This window comes from Homo sapiens, chromosome 5, assembly GCF_000001405.40.
Source record: "Homo sapiens chromosome 5, GRCh38.p14 Primary Assembly".
Taxonomy (NCBI): Eukaryota; Metazoa; Chordata; class Mammalia; order Primates; family Hominidae; genus Homo; species Homo sapiens.
The window spans coordinates 44,815,892-44,839,275 of record NC_000005.10 but is presented as its reverse complement, the minus strand read 5'-3'; positions in this window follow the sequence as shown (position 1 = coordinate 44,839,275).

Sequence of the window (23,384 nt, the reverse complement as noted above, 5' to 3'; positions counted from 1 at the left end):
GGTACAGGGCACAATGTCCCGAAGCTGCAAAGAGCAGCAGGGCCCTGGGCCTGTCCCTGGCCCAGGAAACCATTTTTCCCTCCTAGACCCCCAAGCCTGTTATGAGAGGGGCTATCTGAAGGTCTCTGAAATGTCCTGGAGACATATTCCCCATTGTCTTGGTGGTTTCCATTCAGCTCCTCATTACTTATGCAAATTTCTGCAGCCAGATTGAATTTCTCCCCAGAAAATGGGTTTTTATGTTATACCACATGGTCTGCTGCAAATTTTCCAAACTTTTATGCTCCACTTCCCTTCTAGATATAAGTTCCAATTTCAGATCATCTTTGTAAATGCATGTGACCATATGCTTTTAGAAACAACCAGGTCACACCTTGAATGCAATGCTTAGAAATTTCTTCTGCCAGATACCCTAAATCATCTCTCTCATGTTCAAAGTTCCACAGATCTCTAGAGCAGGGGCAAAATGCTGCCAGTCTCTTTGCTAAAGTATATCAAGAGTGACATTCGCTCCAGTTCCCAGTAAGTTCCTCATCTCCATCTGAGACCACCTCAGTCTAGACTTTATTGTTCATATCACTATCAGCATTTTGGTCAAAACCATTCAACAAGTCTCTAGGAAGTTCCAAACTTTCCCACATTTTTCTGTCTTCTTCTGAGTCCTTCAAACTGTTCCAATCTCTACCCGTTACCCAGTTCTAAAGTCACTTCTACATTTTCAGATATTTTCTTAGCAGTGCCCCAAACTCCCAGCATAAATTTTCTGTACTAGTCCATTTTCACACTGCTATAAAGATCTACTTGAGACTAGGAAATTTATAAAGGAAAGAGGTTTAACTGACTCACAGTTCCACATGGCTGGGGAGACCTCTGGAAACTCACAGTCATGGCAGAACGCAAAGGGGAAGCAAGCACCTTCTTCACAAGGTGGCAAAAGGGAGAGGGGGTATTGCCAAACATGTTTAAACCATCAGCTGTCATGAGAACTCACTCACTATTACAAGAACAGCATGGGGGAAATCACCCCCATGATCAAATCACCTCCCACCAGGTCCCTCCCTTGACACATGGGGATTACAATTTAAGGTGAGATTTGGGTGGGGATGCAGAGCCAAACCATATCAAATTTTAACATTAATGTGAGATATTTGCATTGATGATTTATTGCTGAAGGACTTCACTCAAGTAACTCGAAGGATCTAAGTGTTTTCTACATCTGAAAATCATGTTATAAAACACTGTTATAAAACACAGCAGAGCTGAGCTTGCTGCTTACAAAGAGAAAGTAGAACAAGTCACAGATATCCAAACTGAGAAGCACTATGGTATTAAGAATTAAGAAACTAAAATGAGACAACATAGGATCAAATATTGTCATTAACATTAATTAGCTCTGTGACCATGAACCCTATCCAAAATAAGCGGGTCAAGATAAAAAGAGATAATTTAGGTAAGGCACTTAGGCCAGTGCCTGGTAAAGATAAGGATCCAATATGAACAACCTACCACAAAATACGCTGACATTGCTGTCAACATGGTACGCACTTTTAGTGGATCATCTCACTTGATTTTCAAAATTACACCAAAAAGTAGGTTCTATTATTACCCCCATCTTATATGAAGACTTTATTGTGCTGAAGAAAAAAAAAAGGAAGAAAAAGGAAAGATTAATCTTCTTAAAATGAAAAGATGATAACATAGAGCACTTGTTTCAGCCTGTGGTTAACAATTGTGGATGTTATAAAAATACATGACTAATTAGCTTAATATTTGTAGGCAACTATATTTAATTTCAAATATTTCTCAACTATTCAGTGCCTAATTATGAAGTCTTTTATTATCTGGGAGTTTGTTTGCTACTTCTCCTCTCTGTCCATTTCATGGCATATACAGTTGCTGCCAGGATAATAAAGCTAAGTCAGACTTCAGATCAGTAGCACATATTTCATGGGTACCTCTTACACACATGGCACTATGAATGTCCCTGTTTGTGGGGAAAGGGGAATTGAACCAAGAAATACTATTGTAAAGAATATGGGGGTGATTTAACCTCCAGAGCCTAGTGAGGGAAATTGAACAAAGATATATACCCTGTCATTATGCATAATCAAGATAGATTTTTTAAAACAATAAACTGTTATTAAGCTTCAAAGTAGAAGAAAAGTTCCATTTAAATAACCATTCAGAGATTAAATACATTTGTTTTATTGACATTTCCTTGGGCATTTTTCTTCCCTAGCCTCTTGTGGCTTCCTTAAAATTTGTCTGCATCTTTTGCTTCACAAAATTGCTCCTCAGGCAAATTTCTTGTGCTATGTCTCCAAAGACAAATGGAGGTGAAGAGTATGTTTCCTAGTAAAATAATAATTTTCCCAGCATTTTTAGGTAGTCTTTCCACACTGGCTGTGTTAAACATTATAGGCTGCTTTGTCTCCTACATGCATTTGACTGATGTATCAATACAGATTTGGAAAAAATTAACGTATTTGCCTACTGTGCACAGCATTCTTTCACTGTTCTGATGGACCACATTTTGTCAAAATATACATTTATAATTTTTAATCAAAATATATTTAGGATTTATTGTAACGTTTTAGAAAAAATGATGGGCTCAGAACTGGAAACATTTGGGTTTGTGTCCCTTTTGGGTTTGGGTTCCCCTTATTATGTAGCCTCAAGCAAATTATTTAATCCCTCTTAAATTCGGGTTTCCTTTTCTTTAAAGTTGTGGCAATTATCCTTGCCATAATTATTCTATTTTATATCTGGAAAGGCCAGAAATAATATATGTGAATTAGCAAAAAAAACTACGGTGTTATGATATCTGTCCCAGTGTAGTTTATCTCTAAAAATATGTCTTTTCAAGTAATCGAGTGAAATATGCAGTGAAATAAATATGAGCTGATGGTTCTGCTAATGGTGGAAGTCTCTGCTATTGGAACATTTATTCCCACGAAGTGCTTAGTCAATGACTATGGCAACCAAGGGAGAAGTCTCCACTAGGATAAGCACCATCATGCTCTTACTTTATGTATCCCTTTTTCTCGATTAATAATTGGGCCATGATCTTGAAGCCATCCTTGGTTACGTGCATGTAAAAAAGTGTGCAAAGGCACAAGACATGCACTGGTCCAGTGGATCCACTGTTTGTTTCAACAGTATTTGCATGCCACAGACTCTGGGGACTCTGACCCTTCATCTCTAACCACGCTCCAATCTCCTCTCCAGTAGCAACCTCCAGGACCATCTTCTCATCTAAGGCCTAGCTTCCAGGATCAGTTAATGCCTTTTACTTTGTGTTGCTGTTGTATTCATGGGGTTATGGGGTGTGTGTGTATGTGTATCAGTTCCTTGTTACCAACCAACCATGAGCACCACAAGCAACACATTACTCTGACTCAGAGTGTAGGTCACTACTGTTAACCACCAGGTCCCCAGCATCGCGGGTTTCTTACACCTTTCTCTGGACTTCTATTTCCACTGGAAAGATGTCACCCTGGAGGGTGTGGGCCACTTTTGGATGACCACTTGGCTAACCTCCTCCACAAGCAGGCTGGGTGAATACCTCTTTGAAAGACTCATTCTCCAGCACAAGGAGCCTCTGGACCCCATGGGTCATTTCATCCTGGATCCCTTTCCCAAGCAGTGTGCAAAATGGAAACAATGAATAATAAAATTATTTTTGCATTAAAAAAATAAAGAAACTTGTGGCAGTGATTCCTTTAGTCATTCATTCATTCATCTGTCTCCAGAGGAAAGAAAATTTTATTTAAACTTCAAGAATAGTGGGAGGCTTCCCATTATTAGCTTGATTGAACTCTTCATTGCTTTCAGAATAAACTTCAAATTCCTTGTGGTGGCCTGCAGAAAATTCACCACTTTCCCAAAATATATTTCCTATCTTTATCCCCCATTACATCTTTTCCTAAGTTTTGTCCCCACAATATAAAATTACTGGATTTTCTGCAAACACAATATGTTTCAATCATCTCTCTCAATATGTTGTGCTATTCAACTAACCAGGGATGTCCTTCATTCCTTTCTCCATCCACTGGCACCCTACTCTATGTCTAAGACATAGGTCAGATGCTTTCTTCATGGGAAACCCTCCCCCACACTTCCCACCTTTCCCTACTCCTCCAGATTGACCCTGAAGAGGGTCAATGGCTGTTTATCAAACACTTCGTGGAAGAGATTTGACTAGAAAATTGCAAAAGTCCTTTGGATAGACTTAATAAAACGTTTCCGTGTTTAGGAGAGGAACAAATTATCAGCACAAGACTCTCATACTGACCCAAATGCACAGTACAACTCGATTCCAGCCTATCTTGAATTTGGTATATTTTCCAAAGATGGAAACCTCTTTAGTCAAGGACTAAAGGTTTTCATTTCAGAATTTCCCAAGACAAATTGTTCTAACAAGTTTTATCTAGAATTCTCTTTTTTTGTTATTGTCCCATTCCTTTTTAGCAGCAAAATGTGTTTTTCATAAGCATATTTAGGTCTAGAGAGCTTAACAGTTTGTTTGTTTGTTTTTTTTGAAACGGAGTTTTGCTCTGTTGCCCAGGCTGGAGTGCAGTGTCACAATCTCGGCTCACTGCAACCTCTGCCTCCTGGGTTCAAGCGATTCTCCTGCCTCAGCCTCCTGAGTAGCTGCGATTACAGGCGTGCACCACCACACTGGCTAATTTTTGTATTTTTAGTAGAGACAGGGTTTCGCCATGTTGGCCAGGCTGGTCTCGAACTCCTGACCTCAGGTGATCCTCCCGCCTCAGCCTTCAAAAGTTCTGGGATTACAGGCATGAGCCACCACACCCAGTTGAGAGCTTAATAATTATGGTTCCTGTTTACTTTGTGTCAATTGGAAAGTGTTATATTTACTCATTGAATCCCAGTTTTGGAAAGAAGATATGATGGGCTGCCATAATTTCTCAGTAGGATTGGGAAAAATAACAATGCATAAATATTCACATTTTCCTTCACTTCCCTATCCTTGCTTGGCTCTGAGCAATTCATTGCATTGGTCATTTTACTAGTCAGGATTTTGATATAAGTAGGTATGAAGTGGCAGAGCCAACAAAACCCCCACAAAACTATATTACTTATATGAAGACCGGCAAATTCTATGCTTGGGGGGAAAAAGACTTGGAAAAAAATGAGGAAAAGGAGAAATAGAAAAGACTAAGAGTGGTCTGAATTTTCATAGAAAGTTTTGCAGAGGGAGAGACAATGAATGAGAAAGGGGGAGGGGGCAAATTAACCAATAACTAGGTGCGAGATCCCAGGCAGGGGCCCTTACTGTGATGATTGACTATGGGAGGTGGGTGTGCACAGCAGATTTTTAGGATATTTTGCAGTGCATCATGCACTAATCACTGTTGGCATTTTTGAAGAAAATACAGAAAAATAAGTTGATTTTCACTTTTGGATTGAGTTCCTCCTGCATGCCACACCCTCTGGGACAACATCCTGTTGAGATGGGCCAGGTAATAGTTTAGCTTTGTTCAGGCTACCTACTATAATACTATAATATCTATTATTGTATTGTCTCCTCACTGGCCTTTCTTCCTAGGCTACAATCACTGTGTCGATAGGGATTCTGTCTTATTCATTTTACTAACCCCAACATCCAGAGCAATATCTGACAAGTACTAAATGTTCAATAAACACTCACTGAATGAATGAAGAGGATTCTAGAAGTCTTATATCAATTGCAGTCACAATCATGTGGAGGGAAAAAAAGAAGTCCTTAAGATAGAAAATTTTTTCAGAGTTTGGGATCAGTTATATAACAATTTTTTTTTTTCCAAAGGTAAGAACAGACACCGCCTACATTTTCCTCTAGCAGTCATTTTTCTTTTTGCATGGGCAAATTACACATCAGAACACCCACACACAGTGCCTTGCAAAAGAGAACAAATATGATATACAAAGCATTCTGCTGATTGTAGGGGGAAAAGACACATAATAGACAGTAAAGATAATAAATGTGTTGATATCTACAATTTCCTGCAACTATGTGATAATCTGCTACAATTCCAAACTGCATTTTCCCCCAGAAGATGAATATATTTAAATCAGACAAAATTACATTTTAAAATTATTCTTATTGATTATGAGTGAAGCCAGTAGGAGATTCAATATATTTGTAACTCGAAAGTTTGAATTATTGCATGGTAAAGTATATTTTAATTGTGTCTGGAGTTCTAATTGAGGGGATATATTAATTCATTAGTCAGATATTTATTGAGCACTACTATGTAACAAGCATTTTATAAATGTGCTACCAATTGAACAAAGAACAAACACAATGCATACTCTCAGGGAACCTAGGAACAAAGAAGTACAATACAGTGAGTATATGATGGGATAAACAGGAGGAGAGTCTCAATTTATGTGGAAGAGCCTTGATCACAGATCAAGGAAAACTGAAGCTATGCTTGAACCAATTTTCTATGCAGGTAAACAAACAAACAAACATAAAAGGAAAGAAGCTAAAAGCTAATTTGGTGCATTTAGTGAAAGTCAACTCCATCACGATTGCTAAATCATAGGAGGTAAAGAATGACAAGACTTTAGGCTAGAAAGAAAACAAGAAGTCTTGCATGGCTTGGTTAGAAGCATGGATTTCATTCAGGGGGAAAAGGTTTGTATGCCACAAGGATCTTTCTGATTGCATTGTGAAGGCTGACTAGAGGGTAATGAGACTGTGAGTAAGGAACCTTAGAAGACCCTTGGAATTGTCCAGGGGAGCCATGATGGGGATCTGAAATAAGTTAAATATTGATAAGGGAAGAAATGAATGGGGAGTTGGAAACATCTTTGGGAATCTGCAAGACTTGGTGACTGACTGAGTATGGGAAGGGAAGAATGAAAGTAAAAAATGACTCCCAGGTGTCTAGATTGAAAGACTATGCAAGTAGTAGTGCCAACCCTTGGTTTGGGAATATTGAAAAGGACAAAAAGCTGATGAATGCAGTTTGGGGCATGTTGATTATGAGCATATTTGGGATGTTCAGGTAGAGATGTCTGGAGATATGAATTTGCCTCTCAGGAGCAAATTCTGGCTGAAGAGAGAGGCTGAAATATTGTTCAGGTACACATGTCCATTGAAGCCTTGTAATAACATGCAAAATGTTTGGAATATCTTAGCAAAGCTAGTACCCCTATCTGTCTGTAATGTAAATCTAGATTTTAACATATGAGGGTTTGTTAAAAGCAATGGTTCGTAAAACATTTTTCCTCTTCTAAAACATCTCAGAAATGTGACATACTCCTACCAGGTATCAAAAGCTTAGAACAGCAGGATTTTCAATCTTGCAGAGAAGCTCAGAGATGGCGCAGTTTCAAAACTTTGGAGGCTACGGTTTGAAACGAATCCTCAGCTAACTCTGACTTCTCTATCCACAGATTACCAATGATTAAAAGGAAAGCATATCCCCAGTGAACATGACTACTTAAATATTTTAGCAACAGAAAATTCCATGATCCCATGCTGATGTGTTGTTTTATATATTTTTGTTCAAATTCAAGAAACTGAGAAATTATGAATTTTATAACTTCAAATATTAATAAAATAAGCTATTTTCATAAACATTGCTCATTTACATTTCAGGAAAAGTTAGCACATGTGGAGAGGTCTATGGCATAGATCACAGAAAATGTAATTCCTAATCAGACTGTAGTACTTTTTGACAACAAAAGCTTTGTAATTTACTAAAAGCATTTTAAGATTATTATTTCTAAGACTAAAAGGATTTTGTGGCTTTTTATCTATTTCTACAAATTTTCATTCCAGATACACACATATATACCTAGTTTATAATAATTATTTTCTTGAGTTTTTACAATCTAATTCACATTTTATATCAACAGTTAAAAGTATCAGTTTCAGTTCCCTGACTATAATTTGTTTTAAATTACTTTCCTGGATGGATGATTATTTTTATGTTTGTGTAACTGAGACTCATTTATGCTTACTTTATGTGTTACAGCAAAAGCAGCAACACTGTATTTTATGTTTAAATTTTAATTGTATTTGCCTCATATACATGAAAAGAATAATAGAGCTCAGAAATAAACCTGGAGTGAGGTAAGATTCTCAAAATCCACAGGCATCTAAAAATATTTGACTCCTTTATGTTTTTTATTATTAGGAAAAAGTAAACTTGAATATAAAGAATATGAAAACCATCCTCTGAAAAACCATTATGTCTTGGATGTTTCCAAACACCCCATCACCTTCATCAAATTTAGTCTTTGTGGATTTAATTTAAAACTAAAAATAGCTTTATATCTTCTCTTATCACTACTCTTTTCCGCCCCAACTTCCCTTCTCTTCTCCTACTGCCAAGCATGAAGACATTGGTATACATATAAGCAAAAATAGTACTCCTAGAAGACCATATTATATAACAAGACTTACATTAAGGAAGGAGATTCCTTAAAATTGTACTAAAAGTAGTGTTTACACCTGAAAAATTTTTTCATACATTGATAATTGAGTAGTTTGACATTGAATATTTTAGTAGATTGATGTGATGACAAGCAAGTAAGCTTGCAGGAAGCCCCTAATTTTTGCTGCTCTCTTTTAGGTGGTAATGGAAAGCCTGTAATGAGCCTGAGGTGAGGGTCCTTATTGTCCCTGCTAATGTAATGGTATCAATGTTTCAGGAGGGCTTCCTGAAACAAGAGCCAGAACCTCAGATAAATCTCTAGAGCAACACTTGGATTGCCAGCAGCAGCCGCGGTTTAGTTAGAGCTAAGTTCCTTTCACAGGCAGTGATTTTCACAGACAGTGCCTTTCTGATTTTGGTGACTTTCAACCCACGTAGCTTATGTTGGTTTAAACATGCATCCAAAATTCTCTGATATTCCTGCCATCAAGAAGTGGGGTCTATACCCCTTCTCTTGGATCTTGGTGGGCTTGTAATTGCTTTGACGAATTGATTACAATAGAGATGCTACGAAACTTCTGAGGCTAAGTCAGAAAAGGCCTTGCAACCCCCATTAGATCTTTTTACGCATTGGCTTTTGGAGTCTTAAGCCACCATGTAAAAAGTCCAACTACCCTAATACCACCATCCTATAAGAAAGCCCAGGCCATATGGAGAGGACACATGTATGTTCTCTGGTCAACTAGCCCTAGCTGAGATTCCAGCCAAGAGCCAGTATCAATAGGAGACCTGTGAATGAAGATGGCTCCAGATGATCCCAGCCCCTAGGTATGGAGTCACTCCCAGCATTTGAGTTTTACCAGTTGAGACCCCAGACATTATGGAACAGAAACAAACTATTCCTTCAAGAGGCCTTTGTATCCTCCAAATCATATCATTCAAGCTATGTCACTCTTCCACTGTATAGGTTCAATACTGATCCCAATTACCCACTAAAGCCAGTTCCTGCTTAAATGTTTTGTTACTTTCCCCCATGTCCAATATCTCTCCATTGCAGACATCTTACCATTATAAATTGTGAAACATTAATACTGAAGACTTGTAGATACTATATTTAATAAGCATTAATTAATAACTCACTCTGTATCTCTGGATTATTTACTATTAAAATCAATTTTTTCAGATGCAGAAATAACATATTGTAAATAACTGATATAGGTGGAATTATCAAAATAGCAAGAATCTATTTCCCAATACCCAGATTTGTACTCTATCCCCTAGGAATGCTTAGTGATTATATAGGACAGAGAGGATGGGTACAATAAATGACCTCCATTCCTTGTCACTTGTTTTAATGCTTCCATGTTCAGTGCTTTTTTCCAGAGGAAATAATTCCCTTACTAAAAATATAACCACTTCTCCACAAAATTTATGTGGTTCTACAAAATATCTGACAGCACTAAAAATGTTCCATTTTGCTAGTCACAAATAGATTTATCTAGGTTGTCAGGAAGAGATAAGATGATCTGGATTGTAATAAACTAATTTGAACACTTCCTTTTTTCCTAACTATAGTTAGAAAGAAACAATACTGTCTATCAATCTTTTAATCCAAAAGATCAGGTAGTTAATACAGACAACAGGAGAACTTTTAGATAACTTATTTTTGGGTGTAATAGCAACATACTTGTACTACTACTTTGAGCCTGGCTTGGTACACAGAAGTAGGTCAACACATAATAAATTTTATATTGCAAAAATTCCTGAAAGCTAATTTCCACTTGAATCTCAAGCTTGATACTAACTGGAAAATTCCCATATGGAAGTAAATGATATCATCTCAGAGTTACTTTGGGCATGCTAATATTAACACCACTTCTAAATGCCTTTTGCTATAGATAGACCTCGTAGAATATAAAATAAAAGGGAATCTGTAAAGAACAGCTCACAAAATTATCTACCTTATGCAAGTCATGAGCTATACATGAAGGACTCATTTGCAGCAATGTAGGAAGAACAACACTGGACAGGACTCAGAACACTTGGATTCTAGACTGAGCTCTACCACTTATGTATGTGCAACTTGGAGAAAGTCACTTAACCCTTCTTGCTCCTATTATCAATAAAACTAGAAAATTGTATTAGATCATCAATCATCTGGGACTGTGGAATCTCCAGAAAGCTGGTATATTTAGGTCAATTTCATATTCCTAGGATTGTTCCATGTTTATGCTACCCAGAAACTTGCCCTGCCTGCCTTTGCTTTTCATACACACACACAGCTTCTGCCATATATCACATGCCATTTATTTTTATTTGTACAAATTTACATTAATTTTACTACATACATATATATTTTAAGCGTTCATAACAAACTTAGAAAATAGCGGATGAAATCCAGTACACCAATCATCTAGTCTTAGCAAATACTATTATTTTACCATAATTATTCCAGATCCTTCTTTAAAAAAAAAATGTTACTAACATAACTAAAGTAACCAAACATAACCACCAAACCACTGTCTCACCCCAATGCTATCCACTTCCTGCCTTATTATACTAACAATATCCTGAAGCGTATAGAACTTTTAGTTAATATTTTTATATTTTACCACACATGTCTATGCCATTACCAATATAGATAATGTTCTTTGGAGTTTTTAACTTACATAAGTGAGAGGATACTGACCATGTTCTTCAACAGCTTGCTTTTATCTCCCAACTCTGTTTTCAAGATTCATTCGTTAGTATATTTATAAATTTCACTTATTTATGCAGCATTTTATATGAACATATTACAATTTATCTATTCCTTCATTGACAGACATTTAGAGGATTTCCAGTTTGCCCCTATTCTAAACAGTGCTCAGGCAATGACCTCTTACATACCTTCTTGTGAACCACAGTAAGAATATAATTAGGGTATTGACCTAGAAGTGCGGTTGCTGTGTCACAGGGCATGTTCATCTTCAGTTGCACCAGATACTACAAAGCAGCAATCCAAAGCGGTTGCACCAATTTAAATGCCTGCCTGCAGGGTACAAGAGCTCCCATTTCCCCACATCCTGGATGATACATGTTATTTAGACATTCTAATTTCTTTTCCAATCCAGTAAGAACGACATGGCAACTCATTATATTCATTTGCATCCACTCTATTGCTATTGAGATTAAGGGCTTTTACTGTTTTTCTTATATTTCTTGGCCACATGGCTTCATTTTCTGTGAATTGCCTTTCTTATGGTCCTTTCATGGTTAAAACAGCCCTTTAGAAGACTCGGATTTTAAGGTTGGATTAGGGCTTGGGATTTGAGAGTTTTACACCATGGCCATGCCTCGTTTCCCTAAGTTATCATTAAAATGCTCAGCCTCCACAGCCCATATCCATGCATATCACCCAGGTTGTCCCAGAACATTCAGAACTTACTGCTCTTGCTTTGAATGTCCTGGTAGGTTCCCACTTAGGGGTACCTCCTCCCTTTCTTTGTCCCTCTCTTCCTTTCTTCGAGCTTAGTCACACTTCCAACTTCCACATAAACAATTTGAAACTGTATGCCAATCTCCCCACTCTCCAAAAGAAAAAAAAAAAAAAAACAAACCTTCATAACCAACCTAAAATCCCTGGCAATCTATTGAATTACAAATGAATTTTCATACAATTATCCATTTCATATGGTTATTCATTATCGCAACAGATATATTCACACACAAATAGCAAATTCACAAAGAATACCTAAAAAGGAAAAGAATAAACAGCATGATTTCCTCAAGTAACTTATAAATCACTAGAAATATTCATCTTATTTTTTACTTTATCGAATACTGCCTCATTCTGTTGGTTATATTGAAGTACGTATCAAGAACATATTTAAGTATTGTATGAAATTTGACAGATACTATTAATACAAAGGACCTTCCATTTGGGAAGCAAGAAATCAAACAAGGAGAGTGACACTTCCTTTGGAGAGTTGTTTTGAAAATTAAATGACATTACTGCATACGATTAAGTACTTTTGGCATGTAGTAGGTACCCAGCAAATGTTAGCGTCCCTGCTCTTTTTCACAAGGTAGAGGAAGTAATTAGGTGAACAGCTACACAAAGGCCTAATTCTAATCAGTAAAAAGGAAATGACTGGGGCAGTAAAACTGACAAATCTCTTGGTAAAAAGATAACCACAGAATCTTAAAGTTGATGTTGGCCAAATCGGGAAAAGTTAGGCATTATGTTTTTGACTTTGGGAAGCAAATTTCCAAAATGTCAGAGAAAAATATAGGTGTCAAACCTCCAATAGGAAAAGAAAAAACAAAAAACACAAAAAAAAAACCCTCAAGAACAGAAGACCCTAAAATATGTACTTATGTACTTTGACCTGATAAAAAGAAATGGAGAAGATTCCTAAATACTTAGGGTATTCAATTAGGATAAAAGGAAATCAAATTGTCCCTGTTTGCAGATGACATGATTGTATATCTAGAAAACCCCATTGTCTCAGCCCAAAATCTCCTTCAGCAACTTTAGCAAAGTCTCAGGATACAAAATCAATGCACAAAAATCACAAGCATTCTTATACACCAATAACACAAACTGAGAGCCAAATCATGAGTGAACTCCCATTCACAATTGCTTCAAAGAGAATAAAATACCTAGGATTCCAACTTACAAGGGACGTGAAGGGCCTCTTCAAGGAGAACTACAAACCACTGCTCAACGAAATAAAAGAGTATACAAACAAATGGAAGAACATTCCATGCTCATGGGTAGGAAGAATCAATATCATGAAAATGGCCATACTGCCCAAGGTAATTTATAGATTCAATGCCATCCCCATCAAGCTACCAATGACTTTCTTCACAGAACTGGAAAAAACTACTTTAAAGTTCATATGGAACCAAAAAAGAGCCCGCATTGCCAAGTCAATCCTAAGCCAAAAGAACAAAGCTGGAGGCATCACGCTACCTGACTTCAAACTGTATTACAAGGCTAAAGTAACCAAAACAGCATGGTACTGGTACCAAAACAGAGATATAGATCAATGGAACAGAACAGAGCCCTCAGAAATAAAGCCACATATCTACAACTATCTGATCTTTGACAAACCTGACAAAAACAAGAAATGGAAAAACGATTCCCTATTTAATAAATGGTACAGGGAAAACTGGCTAGCCATATGTAGAAAGCTGAAACTGGATCCCTTCTTTACACCTTATACAAAAATCAATTCAAGATGGATTAAAGACTTAAATGTTAGACCTAAAACCATAAAAACCTAGGCAATACCATTCAGGACATAGGCATGGGCAAGGACTTCATGTCTAAAACACCAAAAGCAATGGCAACAAAAGCCAAAATTGACAAATGGGATCTAATTAAACTAAAGAGCCTCTGCGCAGCAAAAGAAACTACTATCAGAGTGAACAGGCAACCTACAGAATGAGAGAAAATTTTTGCCATCTACTCATCTGACAAAGGGCTAATATCCAGAATCTACAATGAACTCAAACAAATTTACAAAAAAAAAAACAAACAACCCCATCAAAAAGTGGGCAAAGGATATGAACAGACACTTCTCAAAAGAAGACATTTATGCAGCCAAATGACACATGAAAAAATGCTCATCATCACTGGCCATCAGAGAAATGCAAATCAAAACCAGAATGAGATACCATCTCACACCAGTTAGAATGGTGATCAGTAAAAAATCAGGGAACAACAGGTGCTGGAGAGGATGTGGAGAAATAGGAACAGTTTTACACTGTTGGTGGGACTGTAAACTAGTTCAACCATTGTAGGAGTTAGTGTGGCAATTCCTCAGGGATCTTGAACTAGAAATACCATTTGACCTAGCCATCCCATTACTGGGTATATACCCAAAGGATTATAAATCATGCTGCTATAAAGACACATGCACACATATGTTTGTAGCGGCACTATTCACAATAGCAAAGACTTGGAACCAACCCAAATGTCCAACAATGATAGACTGGATTAAGAAAATGTGGCACATATACACCATGGAATACTATGCAGCCATAAAAAATGATGAGTTCTTGTCCTTTGTAGGGACATGGATGAAGCTGGAAACCATCATTCTCAGCAAACTATCGCAAGGACAAAAAACCAAACACCGCATGTTCTCACTCATAGGTGGGAATTGAACAATGAGAACACATGGACACAGGAAGGGGAACATCACACACTGGTCCTGTTGTGGGGTGGGGGAAGGGGGAAGGGATAGCATTAGGACATATACCTAATGTTAAATGACAAGTTGATGGGTGTAGCACACCAACATGGCACATGTATACATATGTAACTAACCTGCACGTTGCGCACATGTACCCTAAAACTTAATTAAAAAACAACAACAAAAAAAGAGGTATAGCTAAGATGAAGGAGAAGCTACCAGAAAACAGATTTCAACTCACAGTAAGCATTGTCTAATAATCAGTATAGTTCAAACCGGAAAAGTAGCAGCTTTGGGAGGTAATAAATCTTTATCTTTCAAGCACAGAGGGAACTGAATATTTGGTGCAAGTGTTTGAGAGGACATTTGAGCATTGAATCATTCGTTCCACTTGATAATGAAATTTCCTTTTATTCTAAAAGTATATGAGTCTAGCCTCAGGGGATATTGTTATGGTGGAAAACAGTATGAAAGAAAAATATCGCAACTGAGGAAATTCAGCGAAAGGGCACGCTAACCTCTCTTAATTCTCTAGCTCTTTAAGAATATTATTATTTTGTCATTTGGAAACAGGAGTTTTAAAAAAGAAAGCTAAAAAATTAGTGTTAATGGCAAATTACATCTGCAGTGAGAAGCTTAGAAGGAATGATTCATCATGTTAGGAGGGATTTAGAATATCTTCTTATCCAATCCACTCAATATATTCGATGAAGAAACTAAACTCAATAAAAATTTATTGGTCCTAAGTCACTTAGCTAATGACTAAAGCATGACTTCAATCTAGACTTTCAGATTCAACTGTCAAACTGACTTTAAACTTGTTTATATTTTCAGGTAACATGAGAATTAGACTGATAGAACTCTTCTAGAATTGTTCTTTCAAATGGCATTTAAAACTCTAGGTTGAAACAAAGTATACTTTACCAGAGGATAATTATATAGATATTTTTTCCTTCTTTTAAGGCTTTCCAAATACACAGATCCTTTATTTATCTGATTATGAATCACACCCAGGTGGTAAGATATGGAAATCTTGCAAATATATTGGAAGTCAGGATTTAATCATCTGTGTACTTGTGAACTATTCCAACATGAAATATATTTACACCCACATTAGCTAATCTTATATAATTATCATGCTTGGGTTTTTTTAATAATAGAAAAAAGTTGTGATTCCTTTTCTCCCTGTAATGAGTGTGAACTGATGAAAATTTCATGTTTATGTATTTGTTAGTGTTTAATTTTACAATAATTTTATATTCAATTATCTACAAAATACCCCCAAAGACTACTTATGGAATACTGAAATGTATAATGAGGAAAAGTGATTATGAAATACAAATGTAAAAACCTTTATCTATAGTATGACCTGAAAAACAAAATATCAACAAAAATCTATAGATAAAAGATATACCAAAACGTTAACAGCGTGAGATTATCTTCCCTACTGTTTTTCAGATTTTTTGTAATGATCATGTATTTTATAGCAATAACAAAAATCTTATATTTTAAAAATGAAAATGAAACTAAAAACAAAATTATATGAAAATCTAGTTTTCAGAATAATCCATTCTCTACCTGAAATGGATAAAATTCATTAGAACATAAGATAATATTTGATATATACAAATAAATTCATAAATGTTACTGGATACTTCTGCAAAGCATTGTAAATAAATAGGCAAATGTCCCCTTAAGTAGTCAGTGATAAGTAACTCAACGTTCTCATTGAGTTCCAAATGAATAGGAATGCTGAATGTTGGCTGCTTTCATGTTAATGTAATACCTGGCATTAAGAAATTTACTCACCATATGCTTTTCTTTTCCTTCCCAGCTTCCTGTGCATCTATTTGAATCACAAAGAAAGTTTCTGGACTTTATTCAGCATGAATCCAGCTGGAAACTAATACTCAACTGATATGAACATTAAATTTACAATGGTTTATTTAAAAGGAGAAATATAATGACTTAGTTTATAGAGGACTTTATCAAGTTATAAGTAGCTTGGTTTTTCAAATTGCTGCTTTTGTCCAATTTTGCCAGTTGAAACTGGACTTTCAGATATAGCAATGGTTTTTTTCTAAAGAAATCCTGTCAACATTAAAGAGGTTTTCTCCATTGTAACTAAACTGAACAAAGACAGAAAGCTTATGGGACAAACTAAAACTGGCTCTCGACCCGCAGTTGTGTCATGTTGTTTTTTGGACATTTAAAAAACGTATTTATTGAAATATATGCTTGTTCCAACCACCCAAAACCACAACTGCAGTAAGGCCCAAAACCAGACAGAATAGCAGGAGAGTTCCCACAAGGGACTGCCCCAAACCAACCTAAGATGCGACCAGTTGGGATTTCAAAGAAGGAAGTGGTAAGTCCAAAGCCTTTATTAGTACTGTATACATTGTGTGCTGCATTAGTCCTCATGATTGACAGGGAGAAAAGAGACGTTCTAACCTAGATATGGGGAATCGGATATGGAGTTTATATGGGGGCTTAAGGAATTGGGTTCAGGGTTGGGGCTAGTATTTACATGTTTAGCAACACGTTTGATGTTTTGGTGTTTCAGCCAGTCTAAACAAGTTTATCCGTGCCTGGGAACATTCAAGGGCCTGGCTTGGGTTCAAGTCTGCGGAAAACATGGCCCCAACATAGAGCAGTCAAAGCACTCTGTTTCTGAGTCAGGAAAAAGAAAGCAGAGGGAACAACACTAATTTGAAGTATATTTACAAATGTTACCCTCCCATGAGACAACGCAATTTAAAAATAAACACTTATTTCTCAAAGAAAACTTTACAGTGCTCAGAAATATACCAGCACCTTGAAAATCCTGTGCAAAATATAAAAACAAGATAAATATTATGTGCAATAGTAATTAATAGACATGCATTTCCACTGGTTATCCACTGACATATTACCAATCAGCATTGAAAATATCTGCTGAGCAGCAAATTGCACAAAGATCAGTAAAACCAGTACAGATTGGGTACCCACTGGTGTCCTGAATAAGTATGAAGAGGATTCCTAAATATCTAGTTTAATAATCCATTCTTCCCTAATACTGTCCTTATTTCTAAGCTCCTACATTCAATTAAAATATATCCTTAATACTTTTCTCCACACTACTTCCATTGTTTCCCAGCATGGGTATATTTCAATTCCCCCTTACTGGTGATGGCAGAGTAATAGAGTCAAAGTTTACAAAGACATTAATTCTAAATATTTTTTTCTCATTTTCAGTTTGGTTATTTCTCTCTTCAGTTGTCTTGTTAGCAGACTCACTCTATGGGCTCTATAGGTTCCCTCTGGCAAGCTGCCAGGTTGTAAGCTGTCCTAAAGGAGAGGTCCATGGGACAAGGAACTGAAGAATGCTTTCATCCAACAGCCAGGAAGCTACTGAGGTCCTCAGTCCAAGAACCTGCTAGCAACTACATAAATCTGAAGCAGATCCTTCCCCAGCTCAGCCTCCAGAGGAGACCCTACCCCGACCAATGCTTTGATTGCAGCCTAAAGCAGAGAACCCACTTAGGCCATGCTTGGATTCCTGACCAACAAAAACTGAGATAATAAACGTATGTTAAGTCAAGTTTGAGCAGTATGTTACACAGCAATAGATAACTAACACATTTGGAGTTCTTAATTTTCACTGTTTGGTTTTTCAAGTTTTCAAATTTATATTTGGCTTTTTTTTTTTTTTAACAAATCTGCAGTGACTTTTTTATAGTTTCCAATTCTATATGGAAATTTTCCATCTTTTATCTCCTTGAATACAGTAAACATACTTAAAGTCTACCTCACAATGCAATTATTTGGTGCCCCTTTGGGTCTACTGTTTCTGCCAGTTTTCATTCCGCCTTTCTCCTCCTGTATCCAGGGTATGTGGAGATACTGTATTTGAAAAAGTACCCAAATAATTTGAGGCCTAGGAAAATATTCTTCCTCCAGGTTTCTATCTTTCAGGTTCCTAGGGGCATTAGAAACCTAAGGTCACCTTAGTCCACTTCCAAAATCTCACAATTTACTAATCCACCTTGATGATTTAATGCTAAACTACACTCTATGTGAATGGTCTACTTCTGTTTCACCATTATCCCTAGGATGCTGTCCTTCAGGATCTCTAACCAAAGAATTCTACCAGAGTCACAACCTTGGAGGTCGTATACTTTTAACGTTCGTCCTTCTAGTCTCCCAAAGTACACTACTCATGTTTTCAGCCTCTTCTTGGCTAACAAATCCCCCCTCCAGAGCAAAAGCAGACTGAATAGCAAGTTCAACTTTTGAGATTTCCATTTTATTTAATATATCAGCCTGGCAATTAATCATCACCTTTCCAACACATTCAAGCAGATGTTTGTTGTTATATGTAGCCAGGTGTTAGACCAGGAAGATTGGACCAAATAATCTAGCATAAAGTAGAAGTTGAAAGCAGAAGTTCAAGGGTTTTTGTTGTTGTTGTTTTTTGGTAAGTCACCTCACAGCTTATTAGCCAGCCTGTGTTTGAACCACCATTTGGGTACCTTCTCTGTTTTAATAAGGCCTCATCCCTGCACCAGCATCCTAACCATTTTTCTCAAATGGAGAGACGGGTGCTATAAACAACCCAATTTAGGCTAGAAAGGGAAACTAAATATTTTGTGTAACATCCAAATACTCTCTGGTTGCCAATTTTGGTTCTAAAGAAATGGACAAAATTTCTCCCAACCTCAGGCCTGGCACAGTGGCTCACACCTATAATCCCAGAGCTTTGGGAGGCCAGGTAGGCAGCTCACTTGAGGTCAGGAGTTCAAGACCAGCCTGGCCAACATGGTGAAAACTCATTTACTAAAAATACAAAAATCAGCTGGACATGGTGGCTCCCAGCTACTCGGGAGGCTGAGGCAGGAGAACTGCTTGAATCCAAGAGGTGGAGGCTGCAGTGAGCCAAGATCCACAGTACTTGAGCCTAGGCAACAGAGCCAGACTCAGTCCTTTAAAGAAAAAAAAAAATTCTCCCAACTTCATAAGTAAACTGCCTAAACAAATCAGGATTCATTTTACCATTCATTTAGCAGAAGAGGAAGGTAACAGAAGTTCATATATTTCGCCAGATAACTTTATCACCCTCCAACCCAGACTAGAGGTTTTGATTTAATTATCTCAAATGAACTTTAATTATTTTGAACTTATGATTACCATAATACCTCTTGTTAGAAAAGTGAGATTTCTAAAACCTAGTAAGTAATCGTAAAGGTATAATTTTGCCACCAGTAATGCAAGTTCTTAACAGCTGTCTTGGCCTCAGGGGTCATAAACTAATGGCCTCAGTAATAAAATATTTAATAGAAATTAATGAGATAGGCCCAATGATGTGGGCCAAGTAAAGAGAGGAGAAATAAGAATTGGTGGGAACTGTGGCAAATCGGAGAGAGTATGCACATCTAAAGGGACTCAGAGCAGGTTAATTCCAGCCCCTGTATATTGTTAACATGCAAGAACATAAACCTGTAGTTGCCAGATCTTCCAGTTTTTCAAGAGAATCTGGAATAATGACTGTTCTATGACCCTCTTCTTAAATATTGGCAATTAATTAAAAACAAACAAAAGACATTGCATAGGGTAACAATGAATGGCATAAACAAAGTTCAATTATCTCTGATGCTCCTTTCAGCTTTAAATCCTGCTCACCTTCTTTATTAGTACTATTAATAATAACTGAAAGAAAACTCTTGAAAGGCTTCAAAAGATCCTAATAAAAGTGCTCCTAACATAAATATTGTAAATAAAAGTCAGGTTTCACATGAACTGGAGACACAAAGAAATACTTTGTTTTAAGTGGCTAAACCTCATGTAAGCTTTCATTTTCCTAAGGTCAAGATAGCTTTTAGCAATTCAAACCAAGAATTAAAATCAAAACTAAAAATCTAGCTAGTTCATTTAAAAAGCTTACTGACCATTTGACCATTTGGGTGCATATTGCTGCAGTATATATTTCTACAGTATGAATAAGGCCATCATAACATTAAACCTCAGACTTCTGCACAAACTATTATAGAAGACTCAAAAGCCAGTTTCAAGTGTCAAACACTAGTTATAAAAATTTTACAAAGTGAAATGTGCAATTCTGTTGGATGACAAAGAACACAAAAGACAATCAAAATCTGAAACAGAATTCATTATTTCCCACAGATGAAAATAACAGAACTGTGATTGAGAAATGGAGCTTAACCTGTACTAAAAAGAATGGCTTACAACAGGGGTCCCCAACCAGATATAAGCCATAATCACAGATATGCTTATTTGCACAGTAGCTGTTGCCGAATTTCAGTCTACCATGTGCCTATTATTCACCAAAATAGTAATCATACCTATACCTTTTAAGTATTACCTATAAATTCTTGCTCCTTATGAAATCTCTTAATCTTCCCTGATTTTTTATTGCTATTGTTGTTTGTTTTTACAAAATCTCCTTACCAAACTTTGGGGCACAAAGGCCTTTCAGGTTGAAAAATTTAAACTGTCCAATCAAGTATTGGCCAATATTAATGTTGTAAACCTGTAGGTCTCCTTGTATCTATTCTCAATATTCTCCATAGCAATTTTTCTCACTAGTGCCTTGCTCTTTTCTTTCTCCTGCCTCTATGCAAAGCCACAATTTTACCAATTTCTCTAATAAATAATTTTTACAATTATCCTACCTAAACATGTTTTATGTAAATTAACCTTACCTTTTATTTGATGTAAGCATTATACAACGTACACTAGAACTTAATATAAAGTAGAACATGCATAGTAATTTTAACTATATTGGTTGTTGTCTTAGTATATTTGGGCTACAATAACAAAATTCCATTAACTGGACAGCTTATAAACAGCAGAAATTTGTTTCTCACAGTTCTGGAGGCTAGAAAGTCCAAGATCAAGGCACCAGCAGATTCAGTGTGTGGTGAGGATCTATTCTCTGGCTCATACATGGTGCCTTCTCATCATGTTCTCACAGGGTGTAAGGGATGAAAAAGTTCCCTTGGGTCTATTTTATAAGGGCACTAATTCTATTCCTGAAGGTGCTGCCCCTCTCCAGTCACCTTCCAAAAGGCCCTATCTCCTAATACTATAGTCATGGGGGTTAGGATTTTAACATAAATTTTTGAAAAACACAAATATTAAGACCTAAGTACTGGTCTATTAAAATATCTCATAAAAAAAATCTAAAGCCTTCTTGCCTAGTATCTAAGTTTTCCATTTCCAGAATGAGTAAGCTAAAATACATGTATAATGAAACTTATGTAAATTTCTTTAAATAACATTTTCTTAAATAACAAATGTAATCATGAAATGCCTTTTTAAATATAATTTCATAATGAATTTGCTTATAATTAAGTGGAATTTGATACATGTTGATGGTTCCATATTAGAGTCCACTCAACTAGTTTCTTAAAATACTTTCTGATCATAAAAATAATGTTCTCACGTTCTGGGGGTAATTATGAAAATTAGATAACTAGAGGGAAAAACTGTCCATAATCTTAACCACACAGTCTGTTTAGTTATAATGCTGATGCTTATCATTCAGATACAAAACACAAGGTTGAAATCAAACTAATTTTGAATGTGCTTACAAATATATTTAAATCCATGGAATTTGATAAAATCATCTAGGGAGAGTGTGGTTAAACAAAAATGGAGTCTAGAAAAGAAAAAAAAGTACACCAATATTTGAAGAAAAGTGAGAGGAAGAACAGCAAACAGAAATATGACAGAACAGCAAATGAGATAGGAGGAAAACCAAGAGCATGTTTCACTGAAGGCAATAAAAAAACTATTTTAAAAATGAAGGAGCGGTCAAACATGCAAAATATGTCAGACCTTACTGAGTACAATACAGAAAACTGTCCAGTGGATTTTGCCATTTAGGGGCTAATGGCCATCTATTTGATAAGCAGTTTCAGAAGAACGCAAATCAGATTGGTTATATACACCTCATGAGAATCAGCTGACAAATTATTGGCTCTAATGAACAACTTAAATTGGTCTTTTACAAGATAAATATATAGCTATCAGTATCACCTATATAAAGCCACTTTTAAAAACTATAAAGAAGTATATAATTGGAAAGAAAAAGTCCATTTCCAATTACACAAAAATGTAGGCATACACAGGAAATGCATGGAGATAAAAGAAACTCTAAACGTTGCTAAGAAATAAGATGTAAATAGGCCAGGTGCAGTGGCTCACACCTGTAATCCCAGCACTTTGGGAGGCCGAGGTGGGTGGATCACCTGAGGTCAGGAGTTCGAGACCAGCCTAACCAACATGGCAAAACCCCGTCTCTATTAAATACAAAAAATTAGCCGGGCATGGTGGTGCATGCCTGTAATTAATCTCAGCTACTTAGGAGGCTGAGGCAGGAGAATCGCTTGAACCCAGGAGGTGGAGGTCATAGTGAGCTGAGACTGTGCCATTGCACTCTAGCCTGGGCAACAAGAGCAAAAACTGTTTCAAAAAAAAAAAAAAAAAAGTAAATAAATGAGAAGATATACTAGATCTCAAACTAAAAAGGTTGACTACCTTAAATTCATTAATTCACATCCATTCAACAAACATTTATTGATTTCTTACTTCTATGAATCTAGGCACTTGGAATGGATTAGCAAATAAAGCATATGAAGTTCAAAGCTTACTTTGATTTCAATGGGGTTATCCCTTACGTTTCACCATTATACTGTCCTATTAATATCTATCTTTTCTTTTCTTTTAAAACCAAGATTGAGAATTCTATCAAAGCCTTATTTTTCTCCTTTGAACAACTAATGTTCTGTATTAGCATTAC